This window comes from Homo sapiens, chromosome 5 (genome assembly GCF_000001405.40).
Source record: "Homo sapiens chromosome 5, GRCh38.p14 Primary Assembly".
Lineage (NCBI taxonomy): Eukaryota > Metazoa > Chordata > Mammalia > Primates > Hominidae > Homo > Homo sapiens.
Genome location: NC_000005.10, coordinates 147,311,634 through 147,336,986, shown reverse-complemented (window position 1 = coordinate 147,336,986; position 25,353 = coordinate 147,311,634). Strand labels below are relative to the sequence as shown.

General features: G+C 38.1%; 1 protein-coding gene across 8 annotated transcripts in view; it reads right to left on the bottom strand.

The window, feature by feature from the left end:
* STK32A (serine/threonine kinase 32A) overlaps window positions 1-25,353 on the bottom strand; it is a 166,965-nt gene that overhangs the window by 65,004 nt on the left and 76,608 nt on the right. For all 8 annotated transcript variants that reach the window (XM_011537577.3, NM_001112724.2, NM_001287740.2 and 5 more), the window contains one exon: window positions 12,916-13,089. In XM_011537577.3, the coding sequence (XP_011535879.1) occupies window positions 12,916-13,089 (174 nt within the window). The remainder of the gene's footprint in view (window positions 1-12,915; window positions 13,090-25,353) is intronic.

The window sequence follows — 25,353 nt, the reverse complement described above, 5'->3', positions numbered from 1 at the left end:
GAAAATAGCAAACAAGGAAATCGGTATATCGAAACCAAAATCAACTCCTTCAGTGTCCCATGGCCTTTTGATGGTCCATAGTTTGTATTTAATTATTTGCCACATAACAGTCTCTCAGATTGGGCCATCGCCAAGTTCTGGAGAGGGGAAAAATATTATACATATAATTCTGTAACATATTATTTAGGGTGTCACAGATGGGCTATTGGTCTCAAAAAACAGACCCATGTTAAGAGCGAGTGAGGGAAAATTATAAGGAAAAACAGTTTGGAATAGGGGGCAGAAGTGAAAGGCTGTCAGGGTTAGATGATTAAAGACTAGGTATCATCCTCCTAAGATTGTACTTCACAATCTTTGGTTGTAATCCCAGTCACTCATTATGTAATCTTGGACAAATGATCTAAACTCTCTAGAGCTTAGCATAGTAAAGTTTACTGAAATATAGTGGGCATATATAGTATTCCATGTAAGTATATATATTTACAAATAGCCAGAGGTGATGGACAAAATATTTAACAACCAGAACAGCACAGTCATCCTTTCATCAGAAGGGATGCTGATGGAAGCCCAGGAGCAGTGCCCTGAAGGACCTCTCCTGGGCCAGGAGTTAGCACTTCAGTTGCTGGGTCAAGGGAGGGAAGGGGTGGGGGATGAGGGGGAGATTGGAAAAGGGGCTGGAGTAGCAGCAAAGCTTAGGCATGACCTCTTCATCAGCCAATACACTGAAATACAACTGATAGGGCCAGACCAGTGTATGCTGATTAAACATGAGCCCTGTATAGGCTATACTGTGTGTAGTATATGAGTGTGTATGTATATATATGGGTACATATACACACTTCACATATATATGCTTTAGGTTGCATGAGTATATTAGTATAGTACTTAGTAATGTTGGTAATAGTCTCAAACACAAATGGTCCTATCCAACCCCAGGGATTTCTAGGTTGATTTGGGAAGCAGTAGATAGTGGAGGTTTAAGAGTATTAATTCTGTAGTCAAATGACCAAGGCTCAGATCTCGACTGTGCAGCTTACTAATGGTCATTTTGATTGCCTTTCTAATACGCATTCTTCATTCTCTTAATCATCATTTCAGTTTTCAACTGGGTATTTTCACTTCTCTGTAACACACACATTCATGCACACATGCGCGCACACACGCGCACGCATGCACGCGCGCACACACACACACATACACACACACACTGTATTTTGTGTGCTTTGGGAAACCTACTCCACCCTGACTGTAGGGAAGGATTATGTGAGTCAGGCCTAAGTAGGAGTTATCCCATCCCACAGGCCCTGTTATTGGTTCAGGGATGGGCTGGTGACCCAATTTAAGCCACTGAGTATCAGAAAGAATTATGTTCTGGGCTTCTGAGGAAAAAGCTTCCTTGCTGTCCTGGGGAAAGTTTTGAGAAGGAGTGTGATTCTTTAGATTTAAAGAATTTAGCATGGAGCCCTGGGCAGCAGGCAGCTTTCTTGCAATCACATGGAGGAACAAGCTGAGGATGAAGTGGCCACATGGAAAAGAGAGAAGAGAGTGAAAGAAACCAGCTAGTTGGTGATACTGCTGAATTGTTGAATCAAGATACCCTCCAAGTCCAGCACACATCTGGATTTTCTGATTTTATAAGATAATAAATCTCTTTTATTGTTTAAACCATTATGAGGTTTTCTGTTGGGACCAAAACCATGTCGGTAATAGAACGTTCTGAGACTCAGCCCTCCACATTTGTAACTGAGGACAATAATCATATCTACTTTATAGAGTCGTAATGATTTAGTTAAATGGTACATGTAAAACTCGTAGTATAGTAATCCCCCCTTATCTGCAGTTTTCCTTTTTACCCACAGTCAACTGTGGTTCAAAAATAGGTAAGTACGGTACAATCAGATGCTTTGAGAGAGGGACTGCATTCACATACTTTTACTCTGCATATTGTTATAATTGTTCTATTATTAGTTATTGTTAATCTCTTACTCTATGAATCAAACTTTACCATAGGTATGTACAAAAGGGAAAAAACATAGTATATATGGGTTTGGAAATATCTGCGTATTCAGGTATCCACTGGGGGTCTTGAATGTATCCCTCATGCATCAAGGGGGACTACTGTGTAGTATCTGGTGCACAGTAATTATTCAACTAACTTCCAGAAAACATTGAAAGAATAATTAGGAAGTGTCCAGTGTAAGAAGAGCTAGATAGTGAGAAACTGATAAGCTGAGGATGCTAAATGATGAATCGATGTTTTCAATTATCATTGAACCATTGTGACAGCATCATGATGCTAAGTTTCATTTATTGCAATATTTGAGAAACCAGGCTAAGCCCTTTTTATACTTTATTCCACACTATCCTCAAACAACCTTATGAACTAGGTACAATTATTATCCCTATTTCATAGATGGGACCACAGTGGCACACAAATCTGATGTAACTATTCCACTGTTATTCATGATTATGGAAAAAGTCAGGACTCCATGTTTATCTGATACCAGGGTTAATATTCAAAACACTTAAAAATGGCACAAACACAAATCAGAATGGGACATGGACCAGTAAGAATGGACGCCATCCATAAATTACTAGTACAACAGTACTAATGGGTGGTGACTGAATGGAAGCCCTGCCTGACTGTACACGTAGTAAAACTCCAATAGGCAGCAACAGAACTATGAGGCTAATTGTAAATCAAGAGAAGAACTTTCTAAGGTTATGCATGTCTGAAAATGAACTACTTTATGTGGTAGTGACTATCCCATCCCTGAGGTATAACGATTCCTTGTTAGGGAGACTGCAGAAGAAATTCTGCCTTTAGATGAAGGTAGAGCTTGTCAGTCTCCAAATTACTCCTCACTTCTAATTTCCTATGGTTTTGTAATGGCCCGTAGTTGTTTCACAATTATCTGGAAAATCGCAGTGTGGCTTCCATTTATTAAGCACTCCTGATTTTGCAAGCATTATAATAGGAGCTGTTCATATTTTTCCTGCTTTCTTATATATAATGTTATTATACCTATTTAACAAAATTTAAAGAAATTCAGTTTATTAATTTGCCTAAAGTCACACAGCTCACTAATTGATCCCTGATGTAACTATTCCAAAGCCTCTTAATCTCTCTACCATACCACACTCTGCTTTTTAGTAAGATTATTGTTCTTTCTTAATGTTTGCGTTATATAAGAATGTGTAATGATTTGGGTGATGATGTATCCTGGAGTATGAGAAGGAACAGTAAGTTTTTCCCACAGCTTATTGCAAAGAAGATAACTCAAAGCAAATGGGTATAATAAATTAATATAAATGAGTAGCTAGAATTTATTGAATGTTTTTATTTAAGACTGTATATTCATTAGAATATATCATCACCACAGCCTGTGAAGTATGTATAGCTATCTTCATTTTACTGATAAAACAAATGAGGTTCAGAGGTGCTTAGTGTCTTGCCCAAGTTGCCCCACTGGTAACTGGCAGAGCCACTACATAACTCAAATGCTGCTGTTCATTGCTGGTGACAAACACCATGCAAATAGCCTCTCTGTCAGCATGTGAATATCACAGTGGAAAACTGTGTAACAAGATTTGAGCAAATAAAATATCTTCATATTTTGTCTTAAAAGGATATAAAACTATATGCATTATATATATCTATACCATCGTACAGATGCTCCCAACTTGCAATGGGTTACGCCCTGATAAACCCATTGTAAGCTGAAAATTTATAAGTCAAAAATGTGTCTACTTCACCTAACCTACCAAACATCATAGCTCTAAGAGGACTAAAACCATAGTTTTATATTTCAAAGCTCTATTCAGAGCTCTGTGTCCAACATGCATAATTGATCAATATTATGTGTTAAATGACTAAACCTGAAAGAATAAAGCTTAAGCTTTATATTATAATGTATTCTGGGCAAAGTAAAATTTAACTTGGACCAAATCACAGGTTGCATATTAACGAAGCCATTAACCTTATAGAAATTATTAAAAGCTCTGCCAGTCTAGTTAAATGTTAACCTGTACACAGACAGTTCTCTTTGCCTTTTCACATGGGTTTTCACAAATGGGTGGCTTTGTGTGAGAAACACAATTGCAAAGCCCTTTTGAAACTGCTTGATGCATACAACACAAAGAAGGCAGATTCTCCTGTTTTCACAATGTGTAATTCATGCTCATTCATTATTCGGTAGCTCGGGAGCAGGTGCTGAATAGAACACATCAACCTAATACCCTCATTACTGCACTGCCGTTTTGTTTTGAGGCTCAAGTGGTCCTTCTGCTACCAGAGTTAGAAAAAGAGAACATTTGCAAGGGCTTGTGGTCTACTGAAAAGAAGATTTACCAAAACAAAAAGAAAGGGCATTTTCTTAAGCACTCCACAGATGATAGCCTAAAACCAAAGTCTATTATTCCACTGCAACAAATAGAAACTTTTATCAATACACTGAAAGAAAGCCAGCATCAAGCAGAACACATACAATATAAGTAATCAGATAATTTTTAGACTTTAAATGTTCTCATACTGGACATGTAGCTTTGGTAAAATGGAAAAGATTTAACTTTCCTAATAGATATATAAAAGCAAAACAACACACCTTGGACAGGAGAAGTGGTATAAAAAAAAAAAAAGCCTACAGATACTGAAAATATCTTCCCAAACCTGAAATACAAAAGTAAGCAAAGACAGTCTCTGGCAACATTAAAATAGGTTACCCTATACTAAAGCCAATGGACTTGACTTACTGAATATTCTCTTGGTTTAGTTTAATTTTACAAACAATACAAACAAGTTTTGTCACTTGGTCTTCTATCCCATAATGTATTGTAAGCAGCATGTTAGGAGTGAGGACAGAAGGTGCTCTGAGTAGCACCTACTAGAGAAGCAAAGATTAAAAAATTAGCAGCAAAGAAAACAATAGAAACATATTTACTACATTCATTTGTTAGAGCTGCTGTCACAAAGTACCACAAACAGTGGCTTGAAGAACACAGAAATTAATTTTCTCACAGTTCTGAAGGTAGAAAGTCCAAAATCAAGATGCCAGCAGGGCCCATGCTCCCTCTGAAACTTCTCAGGGAGACTCCTCCCAGGCCTCTTCCAGCTTCTGTGGGTTTGCTGGCAATCTCTGGCATTCCTTGGCTGGTGGACCCATCACATCAATCCCCCATCTTCACCTGTCATCCTCCCTGTGTCTCTCTACATCCACATCATCTTCACTCTTTGTATGTTCCTCTGTGTCCAAAGTTCCTCTTTTCATAAGGACACCAGTCATACTGGATTAGGGCCTACACTAATGGCCTCATTCTAACTTGATTATCTGGGTAAAAACCCTCTTTCCAAAAAAGATGACAGTCTGAGGCACTGGAGGTTAGGACTTCAACAAATCTTTCTGAGGGAGCACAAATTAACATATAGTACCTACCCACTAAAATATGTATCTAAACTGAAGTTTTATGCTATTTGGTAAACAGCACTGAACAGCTCATCTGACCTTGAGGATATCTTATTATTATAAGAGTGAAAGTAAGAGCGTCTATACCTAGAACAGGGCCTTTGAAGAAGGTAATTCTACATTTGAATCTGGTCCCCATATACTGACTGTATATTGGCAAGTTGCTTAATCCCCTCAGAGAATTGTTGATTATCAAGTTAGGTGGTGTGTGGAACCTGCCAATTAGCACAGTACGCAGTTCTTGGTGTAAACAATAAGTGATAGCTCCTATTAAGTCATTAAAAAAGTGACATAGGTGCTTTGTAGTATAAATTAAATAGTTAAAAATCTCTGAAATACTTCCAGGAATTAGAAAAACATCTTTCCAGATGACTCATTCCCACAGGCTTCAGAAACCTGAGGTGTCACTGTGTTGGCAAATTTATTTATTAGGAGCTCACCTGTCACTCAATGATCATTGACTAAAATGATTAGCTGCAGAAATGTCTTATTTTTTCCTATAAATTATCATCTCAAGAAAATAAAATGTGACTGCTAAGATAGTACAGTGTGTGAGAATTAGACACAAAGGTGACACTCCAGCCCAGATCTCTGCCTGAAATAAACTAAAGACCTCAGTTAAAACAAACATAATTTTGACCCACAACCGAATTGCAAACAGGACCTTGATTGGTAAATGTGCTAATAGCCATTTATCACAAGTCACTATCACAGGCTCTGTAGACAGGTCATTACAGGTGGGCAGCCTTCTTGGAGGGGAATGAGTGTGTGGTAGAGCAGAGAAACAATGAGGAGGTCATACTTTGAAGAGCAGCCTACCAGGGCAGAGAGGAAATCATCCTAGAATCTTAGACATAAAAGAATCATTACTGATCACTTGTTGAAACCTCCTCACTTCTTCCTTGACAGGGAAGTTCAGGGCTATATTTAAGGTCATAGCAGAAATTGGTATGGAACTGTGATGCAGTGCAACTTCTTTAGAGGAAATGTGAACAGACTGTGTACGGTGACCCCCAGGATTCCCAGCTTTTGGTGTTCACACCCTTGCATAATTTCCAGCCCCTCAGCATGGGCTGGTTCCATGGTTTGTTTCTAACCGACATTACATGGCAGATGTGATGGTCTTACTTCTGTGACTGAGTTATGTTACAATGTTATATATCATCATTCAAGTATGTGTACTCTGTTTTCTTTCTAGCCAACTTACTCTACGGTATTCTTCTCCTTGTTAAATTTAAAGAAAGTAGCCACCATGGGTCCTACAGCCACAAGGAAATACCTCCTGCCAACATTCTGACTGAGCTTGGAAGTGGATTCTTGCCCAGTTCAGCCTCCAGAAGAGAACCCAGTTCTGGCTGACATCTTAATGGCAGCTGTGCCGAGAACTCAACTAGACTGTGCCCAGACACCTGTCCCAAAGAAACTGCGAGCTGATAAAGGTATGTTCTTTCTGGTCACTGGGACTGTAGGAATTTGTTACACAGCATACAAAACTAATCCAGCATAGTGGAAAGGCAGACCAGAACCCCACATGTTGTGGATGCACAGAGGAATGTGTGGAATAAATTTGAGAATTTGCTGAAGACGACATCCTCCACAGCAACTTTTACCTTCTGCACTCACCCAATGGTTACATATACATACTGTCCTCATTCATTTGTTCAGTCATTGAATTATCCAGCAAGCACTCTAGTTTAGATCCAGTGCAAGTTGCTGGAGATTAAAACATAAGTGAGGTGTAGTATCCACTTATGAGGGCTTAAGATTGGAGAGGGGAGACAGCTTTTTATATAGAATATCATGGTCCAGAGGCTACAATTAGAGGTATAACCATGAGCATTGGGAAGACGCAACTAAGCATATTGTGTGTGTGTGTGCGTGCGTGCACGTGCATGCAGGCACACATGCATCGCTCAGGATATGCACATAACAGCTTTCATTCTTTATGGCACATGCCACAACATTTAAAAGCCTTTTGATATTAATGTTGAAGTGTTTACTTGACTATTTTTCACACTATAATATTAACAACTTCTTATGACAGGGGGATTGTCTTCTTCCCCATGGGAGCCTGGCATTCAGAACACTGGCAAATAGGTACCCAGTAAATAATTTTTGAATAAATATTTGGACTAGAAGCATTATTCCTAAGATTTTTTTCTTCACTGTCAAGGTACTGATTTCTAGAAGAATGATAGGAACATCTCATAAGCAGCTACTCCAGCCCAAGAGGTCATGTGTGAGAAATAATTTCTATCTGCATCTTATACAGTCCCTAAGATGAATCTGGAATCAGTTATTGGTTCCAATGAGAACAGCAAAGAAGGCAAAGGTGATAAATAAAAATACCATCCTGTGTTTTTCTACACAGCCATAAATCTTCTTTTATTTCTCTTCAACATTTCGGTACTCAATGGGAAATGAAATTTTTGCAACTCTCTCTGTTGTACTGTAATTACTTGCACAAATTACTCTAATCAGATTTTTTATCTCATTCCTATAAAAATTTAGCAAACAGTGAGTTATAACCTCGTTATAGTGGGGGGTAATTCTCAGAGGGAAAAAACAATCAACCATCCTCTCAAATGGTATTTTGACCCAAAATGACTTACTATTTAATTGTCCCATACAATCCATCTCATTAGCTTAAATTCATAATTGAGTCTACTTTAAGATCTGACAAGGGAGTAAACAGAAATTTGTCTTTGGATTATAATATTAAATAATTACTTTCCACCAGATTGTTCATTGGAGAGGCTGAGGCAATCAACAAATAGAATAGTACTAACCCTGTAGAAGAGATTGTAATGAGTTTTGTTTCCCTTATTTTTTAAATAAAAGCAAATAATCACTTTGTCCCTAATTTAAAGCATTTATTTGCAGATTTCAAGTAAGCAAAAGAGAATATTATACTTCAAACTGGCCATTCTTTGGAAACTAAAGCTGATTTTCAAGCTGTACTCACACAAAAAGTTTGACTTCTTGACTAATAAGAAAGTTGTCTAATTGCACAATTCAAACTTAATGGTTATTATGCAACCCTGTGTCTTTAACAACGATAGAAAAGAAAGATTCTGAAATTGAAGAAAACTAGCTGAATATTCTACATATTTGGGAAACTACCAAAAGTTCAAGTCCATGGATTTTTAAACATCCACAAAATAAAACTCCATTTATGTCTTAATGGGGATTTGTGGCGGAAACAGATCTTATGGTTTTTTTTAAAACATCACTACACTAGACATTTCTGGCAGAAAAGCTGAAGTGAAAACAAAATTTTAAAAAGACCCCCTTCTATGTTAACACAGGGAAACAAGTGAGGACTTCCATCCATTGAGCTCCTCTTGCTAGGCTAGACTTGCTGTGTGCTTTGGCTGTTAAAAGTCCCATTTACACCCTCAGAGCTCTCATGAGACTTGCTTTCTTACTCCCAACCAACTTCTCTGAAGTACTTGTCTTTCTTACACAATTTAGCTTCTAGTTTTAGGCTGTTTTCTGTATGAGCTCTCATGAAACTTATTTTGCGACTCCACACTATCTTCTCTGAAGTACTTGTCTTTCTCACACAATTTAGCTTCCAATTTTAGGCTGTTCTCTGTCTGTCCGTTCCACATGTACCACTTTCGTCTGTGGGTGCCTGAGGCAGGTGGCCATGCATAGGTGTCCCGTGCTCCCCTCAGAGCTGCAGCCATGCTGAGCATCTGCAGGCTGGAGAGTGGTGAAGAGCTCTGCATTTCCTAAACATGATGCTTTCCCTACTTAATAGCCATGCAAACTTGGGCAAGTAATTTTTCAGAACCAGAGTTTCATCGAAGGTGAAATGGGGACAAAGTGCCATAAACCTCCTGGAGCTATGGGAAGACTGAGTGAAATAACTCACAAGTGCTTAGCAGGCAGCCTGGTACCCAGGAAACCCTAAGCAAACAGCAGCCTACTGCTGCTCCTACTTCCACGTAGTGCTGACTGTTTACGGGTAATTTTGAATCTTCTACCATGTCCAAAGGCAAAATGTAGATTTTAATCTAAAAGTAGGAAGTCACATATTTTATATCTTCAGTTTTATGCAGATGGTCTCTCCTTGTCCGGGAGATCTACTGTACTTTCATTGATTCTTTTTTTCATTCTCACTTTTAATTTCTAGGAACTCAGCACATATTTTACAATCTAATCTTTCTAAGTAACTAAAAGGTGTTTTGTTATCTTGAATTCAAGTACAACATGAATCGGGCTGATTCTTTTGAAGAAGGAGGTTTAAAAAAGAATTACAGTATTCAGAAGCCTGTATCTCTTCTGTATTGCTTTTTGCACTCTCTGGCCCAGGAGTTCTTAGTCTCAGATTGACAAAGTTATTATCATTTAAATTCCTTAAACAAAGGGATCACTGCTTCTTTTACCATGTACACTTTTTAAAAAGCTATTTGACACCATTTCAAATTGATATCTGGTATTCTGAGAGCAGAAAATCCTGGTTATCAGAACACTGTCAGAATTAAAATGTCTATTTGAAGCTGGGCATGGTGACTCACACCTGTAATCCCAGAGTTTTGGGAGGCTGAGGCAGGAGGATTGCTTGAGCCCAGGAGTTCAAGGCCAGCCTAGGCAACATAGGGAGACCCTGTCTCTACAAAAAATAAAAAACCAAAAAACACTGCCTTGAAAAGCCTTAATGATGTTGACATAGGTCCTGAATTGCCTAGATTATTTATGGCTTTTGACTCTTCCCAGTGCTATTAATATTAATAGCATCCTCTTTAGCTCTCAGAGTATCCTGGTTTGGATGATAAATAACATGATTAATGTAAAGACCAAGGTACAAGTAGGTCTGAGGCCTTTGGATTTAATGTCCTATATTTGAATATTTCCTACTTGTAAGCCTGAACTTCTGGTCAATCATTCATTCATGTGGCTCATATTTTTTTCACATACTGGTTATACAATGAAAAGCAAAACATGCAGAGTTCACAATTTTATAAAGGAGACAAATGAATTAATTATACACCAAATGTCACAACTCCTCAGGAGAGGTACAAAAGGGTATGACAGCCTGTAAAATATAACACCTGGGAGGTGGGGGGAGAGGTGCATAGAGGTTACAGAAATGCACCTGAATAGTTTTTGACACCAGAAGGATGTCACCTCAATTTAACACTGCACTCAAAATGTCATCCTGTTTGCCTTCCATACCTTTACCATGGTGAGGAGACATTTCAGTACAAAAAGGCCCTTCTGAGAACGGGCACTAAGTAATAACTGTGGATGTGATTGAAGGGCAAAAAACCAGAAAGTTAATCCTTGGTTTATGATTTAAGTGGCAAAATGATGATAACGGTGAGAAAAAAAGAGAGGGAAAGAACAGAAAAACAGTATTGGGTGTTAGTAAGCTCCTTGGGGAAAAATTGTATCAATATTTTTGTTGTTGTTTTTCCCTCCTGAATTCCTCTTGGAACACAGTTCTAAGTACATGGAGAAAATGCTCAGAGAATTGGTCTTTTGATGACCAAGAACATGAAGCCTAAAGAAAGAAGGGACAGAACCCAATTTCAAACAGGAAAAGGAGAGAGAGTGAAAAGGCTCTGAGGCCATGCTGGTTTCTCAAGGTCACTGCCTTCTTTCTGATATCTGTGATGTCACAACCAAGATAGGCTGTGGTTGGCAATTTTTGGGAGAATGAACGAGCAGGAAAGTTTTGAGAGGGACTCCATAGACTAACAAGTATGAACAGTCTCTCTTCAGAAAGAGCTATGAGGGACCAGAAAACCAGTATGGGAAGATGAGTGCTTGAGAACAGGATTTCTAGTTATTGAAAAAAACACCAGGTGTGCAAATTCACTTCTGAGATCCTACGTAATTAACTGGTCTGCTTTCATTTATCTGGTGCCTGAAGAGCACACTTCCAATACAAGCAGGCCCTTCCAAAGAAGGAACATTAAATAAAAACTAAATGTAGAGGGCCAAGGCCCAAAAAAATAAAAATAAATAAAAGAACTGGCCTGTGGTACCTGCACAGAGAATCTATAAATTCTGATGCTTCACCTTCATCTATAGGCTCTGTACTCATCAAGATAAATTATAGGCTGAGTACAGTGGCTCACTCCTGTAATCCCAGAATTTTGGGAGGCTGAGGCAGGAGGACAACTTGAGGCCAAAAGTTGGAGACCAGACTGGGCAACATGGTGAAACCCCATCTCTCTAATATATATATATATATATAAAGGTTTAAAAAATAAATTACAGGTCAATGTCAACTGGTGGTGGTCAAATATTTTATCTAGCCAACTTTTTACTAATTGAGACATAATTGTACTTAAAATCTCAGCAAATTCTTCAAGGATTAGAGATGACAGCAGCAGAGTCACATGTACTGATTTTTCATTTAATGATGTATAATCAATTAATGCATATATTTCATATGTGTAAGTAATGTGAATTGGTATCATAGAATTCTGACTTTGAGGTCAGAGAGATCTAGGTTTAAATCCTGGCTACGCTATTTGTTAGCTGTTTGTCCTTGGCAAACCTTTGAGACAGTTTCTTTATCTGTGTAATGGGAATATTATAATGAAATGTGGAATCTTTGCTGAGTTTTGAGGATTTAATAAACTAATGTACATAAAGTACCTAGGAGTGCCTGGCACATAGTAAGTCATCAACCAGTAAACACTAGTTGTTTTGATGTTGATTAGTAGATGTTTTGATGTTTGATATGTTTACAATTCATATAAGTAAACTGGGTGATAATTTAATGTATACAAGCCATGATTTTTTCATATGTAATTCTAGTCTAATTATATCTGCTCTGATCATTTATCTCAGGTTATTTCAGAGATCAAATGAGATACTATATATAAAATCATCATTGAAACTACAAATTTCTTTACTATAAAGTATTATCCTTTTCTCTGTATTATCTCTATAGCTTTATGGTTTCTTATGTTATTTGTATGTCTTTATTTACTACTAATGCTCTAAATGCAGAAGACATTGCTATTGCTTTTTCTACCTCCATTTGCAGTACATACATTAGGGATTAATTTAATATAGACTGCAGGACAGCAAATATTAGAAAGACTCAAGCTTTTTTCCCAAAGAACTTTCTTTCTTTTCATTCTATTTCTTTCCCTCCATGTGCTACCTCCATTTAATTATTTACTTAATATTTATTAGGTTTCTATATGTCACCTTTTCTCCTTTTTGTCTAAGCTTAGTTATAAAATAGTACCAAAATTCATTGATTGTGATCTTGTTGTTTACTGTGACCTTTGGCAAATTAAGCTCTATGTGTTCAGTCTTTTACAAAATCTGCAAAATGAAGACAATCAACCTACCTCAGGGTACTGTTTCAAGAATTAAACGGGGATTAAATGTCATGTTCAATAAGAATTTATTGAAGGTAGCCAGTTGTGGATTCTCTCCTTGCGTTACGTTCATGGCCATCTCCTTGGACTTGACTGACCTGTGAATGATGCGCTGGTTCTGCAGGTAGTCCAGGGCCATGACCAGCTCACAGATGAAGAGCTTCACTGTTTCTTCCTTGAAGTGGACGTTCTGTTGCAGGTGATAACGCAGGTCTCCACCCAGCAGGAGGTCCACCACCATGAACATGTCTTCCTCATCTTGGAAGGAATACCTGGAATTACATTAGAAGAGAAAACTTATCAAATATATTTACACATTAAAGAGTCTCAGAGACAAATGAGACCCTACAGATCAGAGCAGAGTGTTCTTGAGCTAAGAGCTCAGACTTTGGGAGTAGGTGGTCTATCACTAGCTCTATCACCTTAGGCCTTTAGTTTCCTCATGGGTCACATGGGAATAATAACCACATTTGATCATACTGATGAATAAACAGGGTAATTATAATACTTATTGTCATGCTTGACATACAGTAAGCACTCAATAACTGTTTATTCATGTAGCAATAAAACACAGAAAATGAAGAGAACCCAAGTTATCCATTTATTGCTAATGGTTGTATCCTAACCATATATTGCAGAAGGCCCATAAAATATGAGTTATGGGAACTCCTTGAACTATCCTCATGCCCATTTTTCTATACTAACAACATCATTGCCCAGCAACATTATAACAGATCATGTCCCACATTAATGATAAGGAAAACACATAAGAAGGGCAATGAAGAACTAAGCACACAGTACAAGGAAGTAATTCACTCTGTCTTTGGGATGGGGAAGTAAAGGAAAGCTTCTCAGGAGAGGTAAAACCAGAGCTCAATTTTGAGGAATGGTGATCATAGTAATAACTGAAAAATAACGCTAACATCTCCTGATGTTTCTACTGAGTGACTTTGTGGGCTCTGACACACTCTGTGAGTGTGACCCCAGTCCTTCCTCACGATGCTGGACCTACGCTCCCATTCACACGAGGAAATGCACAAAGTTAAACACCTGACAAATGGTGGTGCCAAAACGTTCTCCAGGTGCCAAAGTAAAATTTGAAAAATACCAGAGAAAAATAGGATGCATGCAAGCACAGACTAGGGAAAGAACCTAGTGCAAGTGGGGAAAGGAGAATAGCTTGGATTTGCTGGAACAACAGGTATGAGGGGAAACTTGTGTCTGGAGAAGGCGGCAGAATCCGGATCCCATAACAGGACCCTGTGCACGCATCTGCAGTGACCCCCAGTCACTGAATTAGGCAGGATCAGACATGGGCTTCACACAGGAAGGAGTGTAGGGATGAGGAATTAGAAGAGGAAATGAGAACAGAGAGTAGAATTGGTCTCTGCTGTGTACAAACAGTAGCTTGTAACTATGCATTCCTACCTCTGTGATTTATTTTGTTTCCCTCAAAGCACAGCCATGATTTCTATTCAAAGTCAAGTTCTCTGACATGTTTCTTTGACATGTTTCTTTAGACATAACATCATGGATAAAACATTTTAAAGTTTCATTTGAATCAAGAATTAAGTGCCTGCAAGCAGTGCCCAGGGATGCACATTACTTCCTTGTGACAAATTATTTGCTGAGGAAATAAATGTAAAATATCAAATGATGGGAGAAATGCACTTAGTACATTTTCTTCTTTATAATTATCATTGTGCTGAAGGAGAAAAGGAATACTTACAAACACCAGAAAAAAAAGAAATTCAACGAAGCATTAATCTGAGGTGGTAACATTCTAATTAGCATTAATAGCACCTGATAGTTCAATAAATAAAATTTTGTTTATCACTGAAGACTGATTTACACAGAATACGTCTTGGAAAAATTTAGCTCTTAGAGGAGTTTAGACAGAAACTTAAAAAGTGTTTTGTAAAAGCCTGAGAAACATATGCTTGGTATTGCCTTTTGGGAGATACTATTCTTCATCTCGATGCAGTGACTGGCTGGTCATCTCTGCCATTGGTGTATTGGGCATGAGGAAAGGTCTTTGGTTCTAGGCAATGTGGTATGTAAGCCTTCCAACTGCAGCAACACAAATTATATTCACTGTGTTTTACAGGCCATTCAGTAAACAATATTGAACTGGTGAAACTGTAATCATATCTGGGACCTGCTGCACCTCAGGCTGTTCTCCGCTAAGGTAAGAGAAAGAATGATTGATTGTGGGATGTAAGCAAGGCCTTTTAGGATGAGTGGCAGATGCAATAGGGATAATGAGGTGTGTGAGGGTTTGGTACCAAAAGTCAGGAGAAGAGAGTACTAACCATAAAAATAATTAGATGCCAATGCAAACCACCTACTCAGACCGGGTTAGCATACAGAGCAGATGTGATTCACTCCCTGCTGTTGACTATGTTAGGCTGCCAGGTGTAGTTCAGAAACCTGGTAACAGTCAAGTGGACTCTTCTCCTATTATTCCATTTAACTCCAAGGGAGCAGAATATATTTCTTAAATTCAGCCTGAATGAACATTTTTACTGGGACTTGGGTTAAGCTCTTTTTATTCAAAGAACAAAGTGATAAAGGTGCCAATGTGGCAAGTTAATAACAGTGTTCGAATGTGCAGGGGATTATTAATCAAAGACAGAAGAGGCCCAGGCAAGAGGCAACATGCTTTCCTTGGCCAGTAGAAATATAAATGTATTTAATCATGGAGGCACGTTTGGCTCTTAAAAATCATCTTTCTCCTTTGGCACATCAGAGGCCTCCATCTCAGATTTTTAATTCTCAGAGGGAGAGAAGATAAATATTTTATTATCCAGAACTATGCCCAGTAAAATATGTGAACATAACACAATTGGGCAATATCTTGAATATTCAACTTCATATCATCTGATTTTTTAAAATGAGTGAGTAAGAGCTTCCTTGTACCTCAACCATTCATCACAGCCTTGCTCTTGCATTTCTGCAACTTTCTTTGGTGGGTTATCATGGCTTACTTATTTGTTAGTCGACAGCTCCAAAATTAACAAGTCTGGTCCCAGTGCATTTGAAATTCATTGCAAAGTGTGCTCAGTAAGGAAGATAACTAATAAAAGTTCACCACCCTATTCCAACCCTACTCCATCATGCTTGACCCAGACCATTGCAATAGGCTGTTCATAGCTCTGTCTGCGTAATCTTGGACCTCTTCAATCCATTCTCTACCTTGCAGTTATATTTTTACAATGTGAGTTTTATCATGTCATCCAGGCTCAAAATAACCTTCACCTCTTTCCATGGTCTACAGAAACCTATGAGGCCTGGCCCTGTTTATTTTTCCAGCTTTATCTTGAAGATCTTTTCCTTCCACTCTCCAGCTAGCAATTCACGCCCCCTTCAGCCTTAGAAGCTTGTGATACGATGTCACCTGTGCCTGCACTCATGATGCTGTCCAGTACCTGGTTATATTCTTTTCACTTTTCTAGTCTTAGCTCAAGTGTCACTTCTCACAGAAGCCTTTTCCAACACTCCATATTAAATGCGGTTCCCCTGTTACGTGCAATGCCATATGCTTACACAGAATTTATCAAAGTTTGAAAATATTTTCCTGTATGCTTTTGGATTAGCTTCTTTCATTCCCAGTATATCTCAGGATGCATGCTTGCTTTTACTCACCATTGTTGCCTCAGTACCTGTACACTGCCTGAAACACAGATTGAACAGATAGCAATAGAAAACATAATCAATGAATCAAAGAAAGAAAGGAGAGAAGCAAGGTTAAAACACAAGCTTTGGGTGGGTCTTATGTAAATGCTCTAGGTTCTATGTGTAGAAATTAGCATGGTTACCAAATAAGCCAAAAGAGTCACTTATTTGGGAGTCATGGTAAATGGTAAAGAAGTAAAAAGAAAAAAGAAAGTCACTCACAAGCTTGAAGCTGTCTTACAGGGGCCATCTTGAAATAAATCTGACTCTGAGGGTTGGGAAGAGACTCTAAAATATTCTACAATGCAGTGTTTTTCAAATTGTGAGTCAAATTCCTTTAAGGAGTTGTGAAATCAGTTTAGTTAACTGTGATGAGCATTTTTTAAAAAGAAATAAAATAGATTGAATAACATAGGATAAATGCTATTAACATAAGGTTAAACGTTATGATTTTTTTTATGAATATACTGTGTCTCTGTGAGTATATCTACTGGGTTATGATGAAAAACATTATTTCTCGTTATGGGCTGCAGTCAAAAAAGCTTGAAAACCATGATAGTAGGGGAACCTACTTCCTATTGCAGAACTGTTGCACCAGATCCTCATTCTGATGCTACCCCAGCAAGGGTCCATTCTGAGCAAGGAAAAGCAAGAGAACATTGTCCTAGAACCTAAAATGATAGAACAGTTCATTGTGTTTTTCTGACCCTGAACAGGGAGTGCTCACAGCAGGCTTTTCACAGCTTAGGTGAAGCATTAGCCCTTGTTAGAAGAGATCCCTGAAGAATAGCAAGGAGGAGGTTAGGGTACACTGTCCTATTCATTAAGTACAAATTTACATTTTAAAACCTTTCTTTGGAGCAATGACCCATCATATTTTTCTTCTTATAGCTCTTCTTATAGCTCTGGAATAATTTTTCAAGGTGTACCTAGTGTGAAGTTCATTTTTTAAAAACTAGTATTGTGCACCTAATTCATTCACCATAACAACACAGCAAACCCATGGTTTCCAAAGGCAGATTTCAAAAGTCTATAAAAACAATACCCCATTGTGGCCAGGCACAGTGGCTCATGCCTGTAATCCCAGCACTTTGGGAGGCCGAGGCGGGCGGATCACGAGGTCAGGAGACCGAGACCATCCTGGCTAACATGGTGAAACCCTGTCTCTACTAAAAATACAAAAAATTAGCCGGGGGTGGTGGCATGCACCCGTAGGTCCAGCTACTCGGGAGGCTGAGGCAGGAGAATGGCTTGAACCCAGGAGGCGGAGCTTGCAGTGAGCCAAGATCACGCCACTGCACTCCAGCCTGGGCGACACAGCGAGACTCCGTCTCAAAAAAAAAAAAAAAAAAAAAGTACCAGTTGTGTTTTTGTTTTTTAACTGAAATACCACAATGTGACAATCTAAGGCAAAACAAAGGTTAATGGCTTGGATAACACTGGAACCAAGCTGAGACAACACTCTAAATTCTCTCTGTATAAGTTTAGAGGGAGGCAATTTACAACCTAAGCAGATATGTCATGACTTTTAGTCGTTAAAGTATCAGTATGAGAGCATTTCCACCAAGGCTTGATGAGAGCCACTGTTGGTAAGGACATGGAGAAATGGGTATCTTGTATACCCTGGATGGTAATTTGGTGAAGCCTCTTTTTGAGAACAATTCAAAAATATCCTTTAAAAGCATATGGATTTGGCCTGTAATTTTTTTTTTTTTTTTTGAGACAGGGTCTCACTGTGTCATCCAGGCTGCAGTGCAGTGGCACAGTCATAGCTCACTGTAGCCTTGACATCCCAGGTTCAAATGATCCTCCCACCTCAGCCTCCTGGGTATCTGGGACTACAGGTACATATCACCATACCAAACTTTTTCTTTTTTTTTTTTTTAATTTTTAGTAGAGGTGAGGGCTCACTATGTTGTCCACGCTGGTCTCAAACTCCTGGCCTCAAGTAATCCTCCTGCCGTAGCCTCTCAAAGTGTTGAAATTACAGACAAGAGCCACCACACCCTTGTTGCCCTATAATTTCATTGCAAGAAACTTTATGGATACACTCGAAAAACTGTGCCAAGATATACATATAAGGATACTCATTATATCATATAAAATTAACACAATTTACATGCCCATCGATAAGGGAGCATGGGAATAAATTATAGTAAATTCGTGCTACAGATTATACAGCATTTTTAAAAAATGAGACAGATCTATATTCTTTTTTTCTTTGCATTTCAATGGCTACAAAAAGGCATATCTATATTCTGATATGGAACGTTTTCCACAATATGTTGTAAAGACGAAGGAAAAGAACAAAGTTCACACTATAGTATGCAGTATAGTATACAGCTGCTTAGGTACATAAAAAGGATATATTTAAAAAGGATATAAACACACAAACACAAAAGGAAAAAAAGCACACAAATGCTAGTATTTGCATAATTTTTTTTGAAAATAAGATAGTTACATAAATGGTGGGATTATAAATCATTTTGGTTTTTACTTATATATGTTTATATTTAAAAAGCCAAATAGATGTAAGAAAAATATTTCCTTCTACTCTGATATATCTAATACATATTGCCTTATTAGGAAAGAAACTAATAAAAATGAGTCAGTTATCTAATCTTTATAAATTATCTAGGCTAGTAGTTGTCCTGAGATCCTCAATCTTTTTTATTTTTTCTGATTGTTTTGTAAACTTTTCTTTTTAAATAAAGAAATTTTTATCAAATGTTTGCATGCTAGAGTTGGATTCAAACAAAGCCCGCCCACTGCCATTGATGTATGTGGCAGTCTTTCTTATTCTACAGCTTCCTTGACCAACTATTATTCTTTTATTTCTAGTAATTTTTTGTTGAAAAAAACCAAGGGTGGGCTGGGTGCAGTGGCTCACGCCTGCAATCCCAGCACTTTGGGAGGCTGAAGCGGGTGGATCACGAGGTCAGGAGTTTGAGACCAGGCTTACCAACATGGTGAAACCCGTCTCTACTAAAAATACAAAAATTAGCTGGGCATGGTGGCGCGCACCTATAATCTCAGCTACTCAGGAGGCTGAGGTAGGAGAATCACTTGAACCTGGGCGGCGGAGGTTGCAGTGAGCCGAGATCACACCACTGCACTCTAGCCTGGGAAACAGAGGGAGACTCTCTCAAAAAAAAAAAAAAAAAAAAAAAAGAAAGAAAAAGAAAAAAAGACCCTAAATGTTTGCTGTAGTATTTTCACAGTCTGGACTTTGCCGATTGCCTTCATGTCACGTCAATCTATACATTCCACAATTCTTTGTAGTTTGTAAAAATTGGTGGTTAGATCTAGAGGCTTGTTCAAGTTTAGGTTAGATTTTTTTTTTTTTTTTTTGGCAAAACTATTTCACAGATAGTGGTATGCACTTGATCAGGAGTTATACAATTAATAAGTCTGTATTCTGTGTGTGGTGTTATCAGTCATTAATTATTGTTGTCTTGATGCAAAAATTCCTTAGGGGTTGTGATATTTGAATTCTATCATTTCTCCTTAATGTTTTAGCTGGAGTACTTTTATACAGAGAAACTTGCTTTAATCAATTATTTAGTTACTCCGAGGCACAGTTCATATAGGAAAGGTATGTTTAAGTCTTCCTTTTTTTTTTTTTTTTTTTTTTTCGCCAGAAACAGGGTCTTGCTATTTAACCCTGGCTGGACCACAGTGGTGCCATCATAGTTCACTGCAGCCTTGAACTCCTGGGCTCAGGCAATCCTCCAGCCTCAGCCTTCAAGTGGCTAGGACTAAAGATGTACACCACAATGCTCAGCTGATATTTTAATTTTTTGTAGAGATGGGGTCTTACTATGTTGCTCAGACTGGTCTTGAACTGAAGTCTTTCCTTTATTTACCACTTTTCAAAATGATTTGTTTGTTTCCTAGAACCCTCCAAAAGCAATCAATATACTTAAAAATATATTATAATGAACTCCTGGGTTTGATGTCATTATTCTTATTGATGTTCAGTTCATAATGTTCATTCTTCAGCCAGTAGGAACATAGTCATGTTAGATCATGTTTTGTTTGACATAACCCTAGTAAGTTTTGACAGCTTTGTAACTGTAGAATATGAAAACATATTGCTGGCTATCTTGTATATTTCCTGTTTCAGACAATCTGGGTGACAGAAGTGTCTGCTGCTATAGATGTATAGTTATAAATATACACATATTCAAAGGTAAACTAAGATAAACACATCACACATTTCATAATAATGCTTTCAGTTTACATTCAAGATTACAGAAATTCTTAACTTCATCAGTCTTCTCCCTCAATGAAAATCTTGGTTCTCAATGATATCATTATAAATACTTGTTGGTTCTATCCCACTGTATACACTCAACACTTTCAAAATAACAGTATCAACATTACCCCCAACAATGCCATTACTGAAAACACTTTAAGATATTTTTGCTGTTCTTTCTTGTTATTAGGATATATTCTACTGATGGTATATAGTAATTTTCTGTTCAAAAGTCACTTGGAATAGTTCATTTTTGTGTGGTTATGCCACAAACTGGATATATACTTAGATTAATTGGTTTCATTTTTTTTACATTCCATTTTTGGGATTGTTTTAAGATTTAATTTTGTTTTCTAGTTATATAAAGTATGTACATATTTTCAAAGTCAAATACGAAAAACAAGGTATACTGAGAAAAGTCGTGCTGTTATCCCTGTCTTCTGTAATCCCTCCTTTTCCCCACTGGTAACTTCTTGTATTTTTTTCTATTGTGGTAAAATATACATATCATATAATTTATCATTTTAACCACTTTAAGTACAATTCAGTGGCACTATGTACGTTCAGAATGTTCTACAACCATCACCACTGTCCATTTTTAGAACATTTTCATCATTGCTAACAGAAACTCTATACCCATTTAATAATAACTCCTTATTCCTCCTCTCCAACTCCTGGTAACCTCTATTTTATTTTCTGTTTCTATGAATTTGTCTGTTCTAGGCATCTCATCTAAGTGGAATCATATAATATTGGTCCTTTTGTGTCTGGATTATTTCATTTATTATAAGATTTCAAGGTTCATCCATGTTGTAGTGTATATCAGAATTTTACTCCTTTATAAGGCTGAGTAATATTCCATCATAGGCACATACTATGTGGTGTTTATCCATTCATCTGTTGATGGACATTCGGGTTATTTCTACCTTTTGACTATTATGAATAATGCTGCTGTGAACACTGGTGTGCAAGTATCTATTTGAGTCCCTGCTTTCAATTATTTTGAGTAAATATTGAGTAACGGAATTGTTGGATCAAATGGAAACTCTATGTTTAACTTTTTGAAGAACTGTCCAACTGTTTTCTTCAGTGGCTGTACCACATTACATTCCCACTATCAATGTACAAAGGCTCCAGTTTCTCTACATCCTCTCCAACACTTGTTATTTCCCATTTTTTAAAGAATAGTACTGGCCCAGTGTGGTGGCTCACACCTATACTTACAGCACTTTGGGGGGCTGAGGCAGAAAGATTGCTTCAACCCAGGAGTTTCAGACCAGCCTGGGCAACATAGTGAGACACTGTGTCTACAAAAGAAAAAAAAAATTGTCTGGTGCGGTGGCACATGCCTGCAGTCCCAGCTACTCAAGAGGCTGAGGCAGGAGGATGACTTGAGCCCAGGATGTTGAGGCTGCAGTGAGCCATTTTCATGATCACACACACTGCACTCCAGCCTGGAAGATAGAGCAAGATTCTGTCTCAAAAAAAAAAAAAAAGAAAAAGAAAGCAATAGGTATGAAATGACATCTCATTGTGATTTTGATTTGCATTTCTCTAATGTTTAGTAATGCTCAGGATCTTTTGAAGTGCTCACTGACCATTTATTTATCTTTTAATGTAAAACTACTCAGATTCTTTATCCATTTTTAAATTGCATTTTCTGTTTTTATTATTGACTTGGAAGAAATCTTTGTTCTTTTTTTTTTTTTGTTTTTTTTTGTTTTTTTTTGTTTTTTTTGATATGGAGTTTCGCTCTTGTTGCCCAGGCTGGAGTGCAATGGCACAATCTCCACGCCCTGCAACCTCTACCTCCCAGGTTCAAGTGATTCTCCTGCCTCAGCCTCCCAAGTAGCTGGGGATACAGGTACCTGACACCACACCCAGCTAATTTTTATATTTTTAGTAGAGACAGGGTTTCACCATGTTGATCAGGCTGGTCTTGAACTCCTGACCTCAGGTGATCCACCCACCTTGGCCTCCCGATTTGCTGGGATTACAGGCATGAGCCACAGCGCCTGGCCCCTTTGTATATTGTAAATGCACATCCTTTAGTAGATATATGATTTGCAAATATTTTCTCCCCATTCTCTGGGGTGACTTTTCACTTTTTTGATAGTGACTTTGAAGTATAAAAAGCATAAAAGTTTTCAATTTTGATGGTGTCCAATTTGTCTACTTTTTTTTTTAGTACTTGTTCTTTTGGGGTCATATCTGAGGAACAATTAGTGATTACAAGGTCTTGATCATCTACTTCTGTATTTTCTTCGAAGAATTTTATACATTAAGTTCTTATATTTACCTCTGTTTTCCATTTTGAGCTAATTTTGTACATGGTGTGAGGTAGGGTTCCAATTTCATTCTTTTACATTTGGATATACAGTTGTCCCAGCACCAGTTGTTGAAAAGACAAATTCTTCCCCCATTGAATTTTCTTGGCACCCTGGTTAAAAGTCAATTGACTGGAAATATGAGGCTTTATTTTTAGATGCTCAATTCTGTTCCATGTTTATCCTTATGCCAGGACCACCCTATCTTGATTATTGTAGCTTCATAACAACTTTCGAAACTGAAAAGTATGAGCCCTCCAACTTTGCTCTTCTTTTTCAAGATTGTTTTGGCTAGTCTTTGAATTTATTGAATTTTGAGTCCCTTGGATTTCTATACACATTTTAAGATCAGCTTGTGAATTTCTGCAAAGAAGCCAGCTGAGATTTTGATGGGGATTGTATAGAATCTACAGATAAATTTGAGGCCACAGTGCTTTTTTCACTTAACAGTATACTCTGGAGAGCAAACCACACTAGGAAATAGAGACATTTCTCACTTCTTTTCTCAAGTGTGCAGTGCTGCAATTTATGTATGTCACATGATTACTCAACCTGTCCCCACTTGATGAATATTCAGGTTGTTTCCCGGTTTTTGGCTAATATAAATAGTGCAACAGTGAAAAACTCTATGCATCTATCTTTGTTTGTTGTTGTTGTTATTTTGTTTTGTTTTTTAAGACGGAGTCTCTCTCTGTAGCACAGGCTGGAGTGCTGTGGCATATTCATAGTTCCCCGCAGCCTCCACTTCCAAGGCTCAACCTGTCCTTCCATCTCAGCCTCCTGAGTAGCTGAGACTACAGGCATGTACCACCATGACTGGCTAATTTTTTTTTTTTTTTTTTTTTTGTAGAGATGAGGTCTCACTATGTTGCCCAGGCTGGCCTCAAGCAGCCTTCCTACCTTAGCCTCCCAAAATGTTGTGGTTACAGGTGTGAGCCACCACATCTAGCCCAGTAGTAGTACTGGCCCACTGTGGTTGCCTTCTTGTATTCTGGGCAGTCTAATGTCATTATAGATGTATAGAAGAGGGTTTGCTAAAACAAAGATTTGTCAAAACAAAGGGCAAAGGTATATGTAATGTTTGCTTGATATTGCCAAATTTATCTCCATAGGGTGCATATCATTTTGAATTGCCACCAGCAGTACGTCAGTGCCTATTTCAGCGCTTTCTCTCTCTAGAGTACGTTGTCAAATTTTCAGAGGTTTTTAACAGCAGAAAAACTCATCAATAGACCAAGAAGCTTTGGAATTTATAAAATACTTACTTCTCTGTCTCATAAGCAGCCTTACAAAGCTTTTCCAAAGAAAAAATGCACCTTGAATGCCTTCTTTAACACATATAAGTGATCGCACCCACTCTTGTGTATTTTGTGTGTTTATCCAGAATAAACAGCCATATATCTAAAATTCATAAATGTGGACAACTTAGAATTTATGTAGCTCTTTTGGGCAGTAAACAGAATGAATTTGAGAGAACTACCATATAATATTTATAGTAAGTGTTCAGGCCGGGGGCAGTGGTTCACACCTGTAATCCCAGCACTTTGGAAGGCCGAGGTGGGTGGATCACCTGAGATCAGGAGTTTGAGACAAGCATGGCCAATATGGCAAAACCCCGTCTCTACTACAAATACAAAAAAAAATTAGCTGGGCATGGTGGCAGGCTCCTGTATTCCAGCTACTTTGGAGGCTGAGGCAGGATAATCACCTGAACCTGGGGGGCAGAGGTTGCAGTAAGCCAAGATTGTGCCATTGCACACCAGCCTGGGCAACAAGAGTGAAACCCCATCTCAAATAAATAAATAAATGTTCATTAAAACTTCCATTTTAGCAATAAGAAACTTGTACGTAAGTCTTGGAAGACTTAAAGACTCTTGGTTGGAGTTTATCTCCCCTGTAGTTAGTCTTTCCTGGCCTCTCCTTGACAAACGTAAACTAGATGTTACTCCTCTGTGTTTCCCCCTCTGCCCTTCCATAGCACCCAGGTATTTCTCCATTACAGAATGCTTCAGGCCTGGTGCAGATGACTCACGCTTGTAATCCCAATACTCTAGAAGGTAGCACTTTGGAAGGCAGGATGATCGCTTGAGGCCAGGAGTTCAAGGCCAGCCTGGGCAACATAGTGAGACCCAGTCTTAAAAAGGTGTGTTTTTTGTTTGTTGGCTTCTGTTTTTAAATTAGCCAGTATAGTGGCATGCACCTGTAGTCCCAGCTACTTAGGAGGTTGAGGTGAGAGGATTCCTTGAGCCCAGGAGTTCGAGACTGAAGTGAGCTAT